We start from the raw sequence: 13,122 nt of genomic DNA on the forward strand, positions 1-13,122 counted from the left end.
TATTATTAATTAACTATTTAAATGAACAAAAAATGGTATATGCTTATTGTGTATATGATGTTTTATTTATTTATTTAGAGACAAGGTCTTGCTCTGTTGCCCAGACTGGAGTGCAGTGGCATGATTATAGCTCATTGCAGCCTCGAATTCTTGGGCTCAAGGGATCCTCTTGCCTCAGCCTCCCAAGTAGCTAGGACTACAGGTGCATGCCACATGTCTGGCTATTTTTTTATGTTTTATTTTTGTGAAGGCAGGGTCTTCCTATGTTGCCCAGGCTGGTCTTGAACCCCTGGCCTCAAGCAATCCTCAGTCCTCGACCTCCCAAGTTGCTGGGATTACAGGTGTGAGCCACTGTGCTGGGATATTCTGAAATATATATACATTGTGGGATGAGTAAATTTATCTAATTAGCATGTATTACCTCACATACTCACTTTTGGGGTGAGAACACTTAAAATCTACTCTCTTAGCAATGTCTAGGAACACAATACATTGTTATAAACTATAGTTGCCATATTGTACAATAGATCTCTCCAAGTTATTCCTCGTGTCTTACAGAAATTTTTGTATCCTTTGACCAACATCTTCCCAACCACCCTCCTCTCTCAGCCCCTGGTAACCATCAATCTAGTGGCTACTTTTATGAGTTCAACTTTTTTAAGATTCCACATATAAGTGAGATCATGCAAATATTTGTCTTTTTGTGCCTGGCTTATTTCACTTAACGTAATGTCCTCTAGGTTCATACATATTGTTGCAAATGACAGATTTTTTTTTCTTTTTGAAGACTGACTAGTATTCCATCGTGTATATACACCATATTTCCTTTATCTATTCACCCTCTGATGGACACTGAGGTTTACTCCTATCTTGGCTATTGTGAATAGTGCTGCAGTACACATGAAGGAAAGATATCTCTGATATAATGATTCATTTCCTTTGGATATATACCCAGTAGTGGGATTGCTGGTTCATATGATAATTCTATTTTTAATTTTTTGAGGAACCTCCATGTTGTTTTCCATAATGGCTGTATTAATTTACATTCTCACCAACAGCGTGAAAGGATTCCCTTTTCTCCACCTCCTCGCCAACACTTATTACTTTTTGTCTTTTTGATATAGCCATTCTAACAGGTCTGAGGTGATATCTCATTGTGGTATTAATTAGCATATCCCTGGGGATTCGTGATAGTGAACATTTTTTTCATAAACCTGCTGGCCATTTGTTGTCTTCTTCTGAGAAATTTTGATTCAGTTATTTCGCCCATTTTAAAATCAGATTATTTGTTTTCTTGCTATTTAGTTGTTTGCATGCCTTATATATTCTGAATATTCACCCCTTATGAGAGACATGGTTTGCAAATATTTTCTCCCATTCTGTAGGTTGTCTCTTCATTCTCTTGATTGTTTCCTTTGCTATGCAGAAGCATTTTAGTTGAGGTAATCTCATTTGCCTATTTTTGCTTTTGTTGTCTGTGCTCTTGGGGTCTGATCCAAAAAGTCGTTGTCTAGACTGATGTCATGGAGATTTAACTTTACCTTTTTCCCATTGTTTTACATCTTCTGTTTCTTATTTCATGACTTTTGCCACAGTTTGCAGAACAGGTGAAACACATAAAAATTATAAAAACAATCCAGTTGGGAAATATAAAAGAAAGATTTAACTCATAATTTGAGAGAAATTTAAAAATATTTAGGTAGAAAGCTACCAGAGGCTATGATTTCATGGCTGAGGCTCTTAAAACTGTATATCAAATTCATCAATGACTTCCATATTGCTAAGTCCAAAGTACATCTTTCTACCTTTATCTTAGCTTTTTCTTGCTAAACTTTATTTTGCAATTTCAAAATACATAAAAGGTGGAAGAATAGTAAAAAAAAAACAAAAACAAAACCTCTCATATGCCCTTCTTCCAGAATCACTAATTGTTATTGTAAAAATGTTTGTTCAAATACACACACATCATGATTTTATTCTGAACCATTTAAGAGTAAGTTGCAGATATTCTGGCTTTTTACTCTTAAATACTTCATCCAGTATTTTTTGAAGATGATTTCCTTACATAGCTACTGTATCATTTTTTAAATCAAGAAATTTAACATTGATACAATGTTATTACCTAACAGACAGTATTTAAATTTTGCAAATAATGTCCTTTATAGCATTTTGTTTCCTGATCCAAGATCCAATCCAGCATCACACATTGCCTTTAGTTGTCATATTTCTTTAGTACCCTATAATTTGGAACACTTCCTCAGCCTTTTCTTGTTTATTGTGACATTGACATTTTTGAATAGTATAGGTCAATTATTCTGTAGAAAATATCTCCAATCGAGTTTGTATGTTGTTTCCCCAAGATTATTTTTTAATTTATACATTTCTGGGGAGCAAGGATACCAGAAGAAATTCTTTGTCCTTCTTAGTGTATCACATGAGGAGATTCACTGCTATGCGGATGCTACCGTTTATCTAATTACCATGTGACATTACCTGTGTATACTTAATTAAGTTGGTGTCCCTGCAAGCTGATGTCTGTGTCCTTCCTTTACACACATCACACATCACATCCAATCTTTTTTTTTTAAGCATTTTCTCATTTTCTGGGTCAATAAGATATTGCAGATTTATCACATATGTTCCCTGCCCCAATGCTAGAACCAATCATTTATTCAAAAAGGGTTGGTTCCTTTTAGTAGGGAGTGGTTTTAGAAATCAAAATTTAGGTGCTAAATGTGTTCACTGCTATGGGGATGCCACTGTTTTCTAGGCCTTTTCATAAGTTCATCATGATATCTTCAATTCCAATCTAGCAATCCAAAACCACAAGGTTCTTCCTTCCCTTCCCCCTTCCCAAATCTGTTTTACCCTTCCCCAATCTTGATTATCCTGGCTTCCAAAAACATTGATATATTTGTTCATTTGCACAATGTTTAGCTTACCTTTTAAAACTTTCCCTTTCCAAACACTGTCTCTTGGCCTCTGTTTTATCACTCTACAGGCTCTCTTCCAACAGAAGATTGTCTTGAGTCTTCTTTGTTGGCCTCTCCTTGGAGATCTGGCCCTTAAATATGGGAGTGCCTTCAGAATGGGTCTTGGGCTTCCTTCCTTACCCTTCCCTTCCTACACATGTTGCATAGTGCCTAGGTCCCTTACCACCTTTAAGCTAGTGATTCACAAATTGATGACTCTAGCCCTGTCCTCTTCTCTGAACTGCAGACTCATCGATAACTTAGTACTTTCACTTAGATATTAAACTTGACATGCCCCTGATTTTCTATTCTATCCACAAATCTGTGCTGCTGTCTATCCACATTTTAGGAAATGGCACCATCATCCAGCTGGTTGTTCAAACTAAAACTAGTTAATCTTTGATTTCTCCTTTTTATTTACTCTCCTCGCTATATTCATTCCAACTTAAAATCCCATGAATGCGGCTGGGCACAGTCGCTCACACTTGTAATCCCAGCACTTTGGGAGAGTGAGGCATGTGGATCGCTTGAGATCAGGAGTTTGAGACCTGCCTGGGCAATACGGTGAAAGCCTGTCTCTACTAAAAATACAAAAACTAGGCAGGTGTGGTGGTGTGCACTTGTAGTCTCCACTACTCCTTCTTGGGAGGCTGAGGTGAGAGGATGGCTTGAGCCTTTGAGGCGGAGGTTGCAGTGAACCTAGACCATGCCACTGCACTCCAGCCTGGGAAACAGAGGTGACATTCTGTCTCAAAAAAAAAAAAAAAAAAAAATCCTATGAGTGAGATATATCCCTCCAGAATATAACTCAATTTTTCCACTTCTCATTCTTATTACCATCTTCCTAGTCTAAGCCACTAGCATCTCTTGCATGAACGCTCATAATGGCCTCCTAAATGGTATCCTACCACCTCTTCTTACATTCCTCTAAATTTTTCTTCAGAATGTACTTGCTAGTGCCTTTAAAATCCAGATTACCTACCAAGATTTTGTGAAAACTTCCAAGACCTGCCTTTTTCTCCAAATATTTCCCATATCTCTCTTGCACTTACACTGGCTAGCTTCTTTCTGTTTTTAAAAACTAACCCATCTCCTCTCTTACTCCCTACACTGGGCCTTTGCACCTGCTGCTACCCCTGCTTGGAAAGCTTCCTCCAGCTCATCTCACGACTGCCTCACATTCATCCTTAGGCTCCACTGAGCTCTTCGATGACAACCCTATCTGGAATAGCTTTATCGCATCACTCTGTTTTAGTCATAGCTGTCAGCATAGCCTGTGGTCATCTTGCTTCGTTATATGTTTATTGGCTTAATATTTGTCTTCTTCACTAGAAAGCAAACTCCTCAAAAGCAGGAACAAGAGCTATTTTGTCTTTTTTGTCCCTGTATGCTTAGTGCCTGCCTCCCACACTGCATGACTCATCATAAGCACCCAAGAAATGTGTTGAATAAATGAATCAGGAGAGGCTGGTTAGCACTGTGCAGGGAGAGTGCCTTGCCTGTGATCTCTGCCAGTCGACACTGGATATGGCTCCATTGTGAAGATGCAAGTTAATTAGCATCAAAGACCATCAGATACCCAAATCATGTAAATATTTCTTGTTCTGACTCTGAGCCTTCTGATTATAATTTGTGTTTCCATGTAGCTTGTGCAGGAAGTTAATGCACTTTTAGAGCTGTGGACATCTGGTAACTTTGGTATTTCTATTTTAAGTCTAAGAGTGGTAAGCTGGCATTCTTGTTCTATCATTAGTATTGTTGGCTTGGTTATCTGAGGGACATTAATGGTAGCTGCAAACTACACTTCTAATCCTGCAGAGGTGAAGAATAAATGATGGTCGTGGATTTTACTAAGGTGCTATCAGCCTGATAGACAGCCCATTCATGCTGGCAGGGAAGTGCACCCAGGCTGCCGACACCCAGAATGGGAGGGGATGGACATCAAAAAGGGTGGGCTAAGGACTGGCGCCCAGAGGGCATGGTGGGGGAGGCACACACGGAGGGCACTCAGGAACGGGACAGGGTGGAACTCCAGGGGTCGGCCAGTGAATGGTACTCAGGGGTGGGTGCCCAGGGGATTAAGAAAAAAAAAAAGAATGAGCATTGTTGGAATTTAGAAAAGAGGGATCCAAAGTATGTATTGATCAAAACTGTGTGCTAGGCATTATTCTAGGTGCTTAGAAAACACCACAAAACAGATGAGTATTACTACTGTAGAGCTTTCTTTTTAGTGTGTTAGAAGGACAATGGGCAAAAAGTATAATACATGAACAATAATAATGTGAGATTGTAAGCACTGTGGAATACAACAAAAAGTAGAGAAGGATAAAGGGGGCTGAGATTGCCGAGAGTGGCAGATAGCAGTGCTAAACAGCATGGTGTGTATAGGCATTATTAAAAAGGTGAAATTTGAGCAAAGGCTTGTAGGAAGTGAAGCGTTGGTCACATATCATTTAATGAAAGAGTGTTCCATGTAGAGGAAATGGCTAGTGCAAGGCTCTGAGGTGGGAGTGTGCCTGGCAGATATAAGGTACAGCCAGGAGGTTTATGTGGTGAGAGCAGAGTGGTATAAACGTGAAAAATAGTAGTAGGAGAGGAGATCAGAGAGATGAAAAGGTGAGGGTGGGAACAGATCATGTGGCCTTTCAGGCCATCATAAGGACTTTGGCTTTTATTCTGTAGTAGAGAGCCTCTATGAGCTCTTAAACGTAATTGAGCTACAATCTGATTCACATTTTTGTTTGTTTGTTTGTTTGTTTTGATAAAGTGAATGTTTAATGGTAAAAGTTAAAAATCATCAGATTCATCTATCCTTTCTGTAGAGATATTCTTACCAAAGGGGTTATACTATGTATAGTGTATTATATAAAGCTCTTACTCTGTTGGAAACTATTTGGATGAATATCACCAACTTTTGTGATTTTCTTTTTTTCCATGGTTGACACAATCCCTTTTTGATTGATGATTCCTTTTTTAAATCTACCAAAGCTTTAAATTAATTTATAGTCAAGGTTAGCTATTAACTGAAGCCTGGGATCCATTCTGTTACTTTAAGATGACTGGTCATTTCACCCTCAAAATATAATTAATTACTATCCTATTCTTGGAAGTGAGAAGAAAATTCTTTTTTATTTTTTATATATCTCTCTTCAAATCCATTTTGTATGTGATGACTGCAGTTTAATCCCAAAAGGATAATCTTCTTTCCCATATGTATTTTTTATTTTACTTTAAGTTCTGGGATACAAGCAGAGAATGTGCAGGTTTGTTACATACGTATACATGTGCCATGGTGGTTTGCTGTATCTATCAACCCGTCATTTAGGTTTTAAGCCCCACATGCATTCCCTGGGATGTGAGACTGGTTCAACATATGCAAATCAGTAAACGTAATCCATCACATAAACAGAAACAATGACAAAAACCACATGATTATCTCAATAGATGCAGAAATCACCTTCAATAAAATTCAACATCCCTTCATGTTAAGATCGCTCAGTAAACTAGGTATTGATGAAACACATCTCAAAATAATAAGAACTATTTATGACAAACCCATAGCCAATATCATACTGAATGGGCAAAAGCTGGAAACGTTCCCTTTGGAAACCGGCACAAGACAAGGATGCCCCCTCTCACCACTCCTGTTCAACATAGTATTGGAAGTTCTGGCCAGGGCAATCAGGCAAGAGAAAGAAATAAAGAGTATTCAAATAGGAAGAGAAGAAGCCAAACTGTCTCTGTTCGTAGATGTCATGAGCCTATATCTAGAAAACCCCATCATCTCAGACCCAAAACTCCTTAAGCTGATAAGCAACTTCAGCAAAGTCTCAGGATACAAAATCAATGTGCAAAAATCACAAACTTTCTTATATACCAACAATAGCCAAGCAGAGAGCCAAACTGTGAATGAACTCCCATTCACAATTGCTATAAAGAGAATAAAATACCTAGGAATACAGCTTACAAGGGACATGAAGGACTCTTCAGGGAGAACTACAAACCACTGCTCAAGGAAATAAGAGAGGACACAAACAAATGGAAAAACATTCCATACTCACGGATAGGAAGAATAAATGTGAAAATGGCCATACTGCCCAAAGTAATTGATAGATTCAATGCTATTTCCATCAAACTACCATTGACTTTCTTCACAGAATTAGAAAAAAATTACTTTACGTTTCATATGGAACCAAAGAAGAGCCTATATAGCCAAGACAATCCTAAGTAAAAAGAACAAAGCTGGAGGCATCACGCTACCTTACTTCAAATTATACTACAAGGCTACAGTAACCAAAACAGCATGGTACTGCTACGAAAACAGAGATAAAGACGAATGGAACAGAAATAACACCACACATCTATAACCATCTGATCTTTGTCAAACCTGACAAAAACAAGCAATGGGGAAAGGATCCCCTATTTAATAAATGGTGCTGGGAAAACTGGCTAGCCATATGCAGAAAACTGAAACCGTTCCTTACACCTGATTTACATTTTAAAAGAAGGCATCACTTTGGCTACTGTTTCAGTCCATTTGTGTTTCCATAAGGGAATACCTGAGGCTGGATAATTTATAACAAAAATAAGTTTATTTGGCTCATAGTTCTGCTGGCTGTACAAGAAGCATGGTGCCAACATCTGTTTCTGATGAGCATCTCAGTAAACTTCTATTCATGGCAGAAGGTGAAGGGAAGCTGGCCTATGCAGATCACACAATGAGAGAGGAAGCAAGAGAGTGAAGAGGGAAATCCAGGATGCTTGTCAACAATCAGCTCTCGTGGAAATTAATAGAGTGAGACTCATTCATTGTGAGGATGGCACAAAGCAGTTAATGAGGGATCCACTCTCATGACCCAATAACCTCCTGCTAGAACCTATATTGGGGATAAAATTTCAACATGACATTTAGAAAGTTCAATCAAATATACAAACCACAATAGCTACTATTCTAAGAATAATCTGTAAGATTTCAAGGATAAAGAAGGGAGACTACTTAAGAGGCTCTACAATAATCCAGAAGACAGTAGAGGCTTGGACCCAGAGAGTAATGGTGAAATTTGGCTTCTGGTAAATCCAGAAGACTATTTTGAAGGTAGAGCTATCAGGACTTCCTGTGATTGAGCATTGAGTGTAAAAGAAAAGGAAGGTAAGGATGACTCCAAGAATTTTGGTTTGAGTGAACGGAAAGATAAAATTCCTTTTTATTGAGATTTTGTTTGAGATTGAGGAGCAGGTGGGAGATATAAGAATTAAGAGGTAAGTTTGAAACATGTTAATTCATTTGCCTATTAGCCATTTTAAGTGCAAATTGCAAGTAGGATAGGGGAATCTTAAGTTTGGAAGAGGTGACTGGCCTGGAGATATAAATTAGGGGATTACTTGTATATAGATGGAATATAGAATCATAGGACTGGATGGGGTCATGAGTAGCTACAGATGGCAATCAAGGACAGATCCCTGGTGTACTCCAATATTATAAGGGTATAAGAGGATAAATCAGCAAAGGAGACTGAGAAATAGTAAAGCACTTCATGGGGATGAAGTAGGAAGAAAACCATGAAAGTCTCATGCCCTAAAAGGCAGGTGAAGTAAGTGTATCAGAGACAAGGAAATGATTGATTATGTTGTTATGGGCTGAATGTTTGCTCCCCCTACCCAAACTAGTATTTCAAAAACTAATACCCAATGTGATGCTGTCTTAGTTAGCTTTGTGTTGCTATAAAGGAATACCTGAGGCTAGGTAGTTTATAAAGAAAAGAGGTTTATTTGGCTCACAATTCTGCTGGCTGGAAGGTTCAAGATTGGACATCTGGTGAGGGCCCCAGGCAGCTTCTACTCATGGTGGAAGGCAAAAGGGGACTGGCATATGTAAAGATCACATGGTGAGAGAGGAAGCAAGAGAGGCGGGGAGGTGCCAGACAATTTTCAACAATCAGCTCTTGCAGGAACTAAGAGCAAGAGAACTCACTCACCCCAAGGGAGGGCATTAATCTATTCATGAGGGATCCACCCCTATGACCCCAACACTTATTAGGCTCCACATCCAACATTAGGACCAAATTTTAACATAAGGTTTAGTTGGGATGAACGTCCAAACCATAGCAGGCTTTAGGAGGTGGGGCCTTTGGGAGGTGATTAGGTCATGAGGGTAGAGGCCTCATGAATAGGATTAGTGTCCTTATAAAAGATGCATCTGAGAGCTGCCTAGCCCCTTCCACCATGTGGAGACACAGTGAAAAGGTGCTGTCTATGAACCAAGAAATATGTTCTTACCTAACACTGAATCTGCTGGCACCTTGATCTTGGACTTCCAAGTCTCAGATCAAGAATGGTGATAAATAATCAAGAATTCCCAGAATGGTGATAAATAAATCTCTGTTGCTTCTAAGCTACTGGTCAATGGTACTTTGTTATAGCAGCACGAAGGGACTAAGACATATGTCAAATGCTACTGATAGGTCAAGTCAGCATGAGGACTGAGGGCTTATCATGGGATTTTGCAAACATGGTGGTAATTTTAGGGGCCATAGATGAAAACTTAATTTTAATGGCATTGTTTAAGTATGACTTATGTGTGTTGATCTTGAGCAAGACACACTAGGGTTTGTGGCTGCTTTCCCAGAGATGGGTAGCACACCTACAAAGGAGGAGACTGCCAGGACTCTGCAAAACCTTTGCTATGGCCTCTTTGTTTAGAAATCATGCTTCTTTGTACCAATAAACTGAGAGACTTGTGATTAGATAGCTCTGTGGGCTCACTTTTTCTGCCCAGAAGAAATTAATATGAGGGGTAGAACAGCTGCTCACTGTTGGGAGAGTCACCAGTTTGCTTCCAGAAACTCAGCTACAAGCTTGGGTGACCTTTCTGTGTCCTCTGCAGACCGAGTAAGCTTTCAGCTCTGAGCCAGGACCATTTTAGAGTTAAAGATGTTAGTTTTAAGGCCAGCAAAGGAGCAAATGGAAGTTACACATTACTTCACAGTTGCATCTGGTAGTGTGTAGATGGAGGAATAGCTCTTTATCCTATTTCTGTCTCTTGGAGTCTCATAATGTTCATCTCCCTGAAATAAAAAGAAATAAGTAATGGTTCGCCAAGAGAGGAAAGGCCACATCACTGTGTAAGATCTATCAAGGCTTCAGTGAGATGAAGTTTGAGGACATAGTGTAGGGCAGTGGTTGTCAAAGTATGGTCCCCAGATCAGTAGCATCAGCATCACCTGGGAACTTGTTAGAAATGCAAATTCTCAGGCCCTACCTAAGATTTACTGAGTCACAAACTCTGGAGATAGTCCCCAGCAATTTTTTTTTTTGTTGGTTTTCTTTTTTTTTTTTTTTTTTTTGAGACAGAGTCTTGCTCTGTCATCCAGGCTACAGTGCAGTGGCACGATCTTGGCTCACTGTAGCCTCTGCTTCCCGGGTTCAAGCTATTCTCCAGCCTCAGCCTCTGGAGTAGCTGGGACCACAGGCAGGTGCCACCATGCCTGGCTAATTTTTGTATTTTTAGTGGAGAGGGAGTTTCACCATGTTGGCCAGGCTGGTCTCAAACTCCTGACTTCAAGTGATCTGCCCACCTCAGCCTCCCAAGGAGCTGGGATAACAGGCATAAGCCACCATGCCTGGCCCTCAGCAATCTATTTTAACAAGTGATTCTGATTCATGCTAATGTCAAAAATCATGGTCTGGAATTGAAGTAAGTTGGTGGCATTTACTGACTGGATTTAGGGAAGATAAAACAAATATAACAGTCAGTACAGATTTTGAGCCTAGCTGAGTCGGAAAAGTCAGTTTGTCTAGGGGCTGAGTGTGGTTGTTCATGCTTGTAGTCCCAGCTACTCAGGAGGCTGAAGCAGGAGGATCACTTGAGTCCAGAAGTTCAAGACCAGCCTGGGTAACATAGCAAGACCCCATCTCTACAAAAATAAAAATGAAATTAAAAATTAGCTGGGTGTGGTGGCATGTTCCTGTAGTCCCAGCTATTTGAGAGGCTGAGGTGGGAAGATCGCTTGAGCCCAGGAATTCTAGGTTGTACTGAGCCATAATTGTGCCTCTTCACTCTGGGCTGGGTACAGAGCGAGAACTTGTCTCTAAAAAACAAATGATCTAAATATATTTCTTATTAATTCCCTTAAAATGAAAAATTGAAAGATATTTCTCTAGTAAGTTAAATAGCTGTTAGCTATAAGTATATATAGCCACATATTTAAGTATGCAGCCATTGTCTATAAGTAATAGAACCCATCAATAACATGCACTTAAAACATAGAGTTATTTATTGTTTATTAGACAGAAATTCTGGAGTTGATCCAGGGTTGGTTCAGAGGCTCTTTGAAGCCATCAAGCCCTCAGGATTAGGCACCATGCTTTTTCTGTCTTTCTTTACTGCTACCCTCCTATGCTGGTGATGTCTCTTCTCATGGCTACAAAATGGTTGCTGAAGCTGTGAGCATTACATCCCAGTAGGACAGCATTTTAAGCAGGAAGGAAGTAGGTGGGAGCCAAAGTGCTTTCTCCTTACATACCATTTATTCTCTCTGTCTCATGCAGGCCTCCAGAAGACTTATCTATCAGTGTCCAAAATGGGCTGTATGCCTACCCCTAGGCCAATCACTGGCAAATGGGACTAAATTAGGTATCTCACTATTTATTGGGCCCATCAACCATCCCAACAAAATCAGAGTTCTGTTGGTCATGAGAATTAAGCAGGGCTGTAGGGAGGGCAACTAATAGTGCTTGCTATAGTTACAAAGATTTATAGACACTTAACTCATATTCCAGTGACCAATTAATTACTTTATACACATAATGCCTTTCTCCAAACAATACTCTAATTTTTCTACAGAATATTCCTCTCTCATGGCTTTACCATGATAGCTTTAACAACATAGAGAAACTATTTATAATAACCTCACATTAAAGTTACTTTTAATGGGGAAATCAGACTTGAGATTTCCCAAGTTGGTCTATTATATATAACAGGCTACCATGAGAACCAGTGCATCAGTCGAAAAAATAAAGAAAAAAAAAAAACTCCCTGTGTATTAGTCCATTTTCATGCTGCTGATAAAGACATACCCGAGGCTGGGCAATTTACAAAAGAAAGAGGTTTAATGGACTCACAGTTCCACAGGGTGGGGAGGCCTCTCAATCATGGTGGATGGCAAGGAGGAACAAGTCACATCTTATGTGGATGGCGGCAAGCAAAGAGAGAGGTTGTGCAGGCAAACTCCCATTTTTAAAGCCATCAGATCTTGTGAGACTTGTTCACTATTGTGAGAACAGCATGGAAAAGACCCACCCCCATGTTTCAGTTATCTCCCACTGGGTCCCTCCCACAACACGTGGGAATTATGGGAGCTACAAGATGAAATTTGGGTAGGGACAGAAAGCCAAACCACATCACCCTGAAAAATACTTTTGAAGTGGCATCGTAATTATTTCTAAATAAATAGCAAACACTTAACACTTTCCTCCCAGTGTAATTCCATATATTAGTTTGGGACAAATGTGTGGTAGTAGATATGGTGACTAAAATCAATCCATTCTATTCTTCTATAGGAGTATATTCTAGAGCATTCTTGTCATCCTATGGTGGTCCAAACATATGGCAGTTCATATTCACGCTGGAAGTAGAGACTTCTGGGGATGGGGACTAATATGTCCCAAAAGGGGACAAAACTCTGTCTAGGTCTCCTCTAGCCCTTTCCTAGTTGTCCACCAATTGGAGAAGAAGCTTATTATCTCATTGTTCACAACTTGACACTCATGGGAAGAAAATCACTAAGGGGCAGGGCCACTACTTTGAAAGGTGATGTGTTCGTGGTTGTGTTCTTTGGTCTAGCTTTTCTATCTGGTTATGGGTAATAAGTGAGTCACATAACTGATTCAAGGGGTATGGAGCGGGAAATTTAGCTTGGGCTTCTTGGTCTGAATCACAGTTTCTAATCTCGCTTAGTTTTATCATAAGAAGCCCTGTATGTTGAGGAGCAATCGCCATGTGCCCAGCTCTGCGTAAAGCACCATTTGATTTCCCATCCAGCTCTTGTTCTCTGTGGTCACATTCCTTGGGTTGAGGACCCTACAAGGTCAGGCAATGGTATTGGTAGGATTAGGGCACAAAATCAATGTCCTTAACACGGATATTAAGCTT

This window comes from Homo sapiens, chromosome 2 (assembly GCF_000001405.40).
Source record: "Homo sapiens chromosome 2, GRCh38.p14 Primary Assembly".
In the NCBI taxonomy this organism is placed as follows: Eukaryota; Metazoa; Chordata; class Mammalia; order Primates; family Hominidae; genus Homo; species Homo sapiens.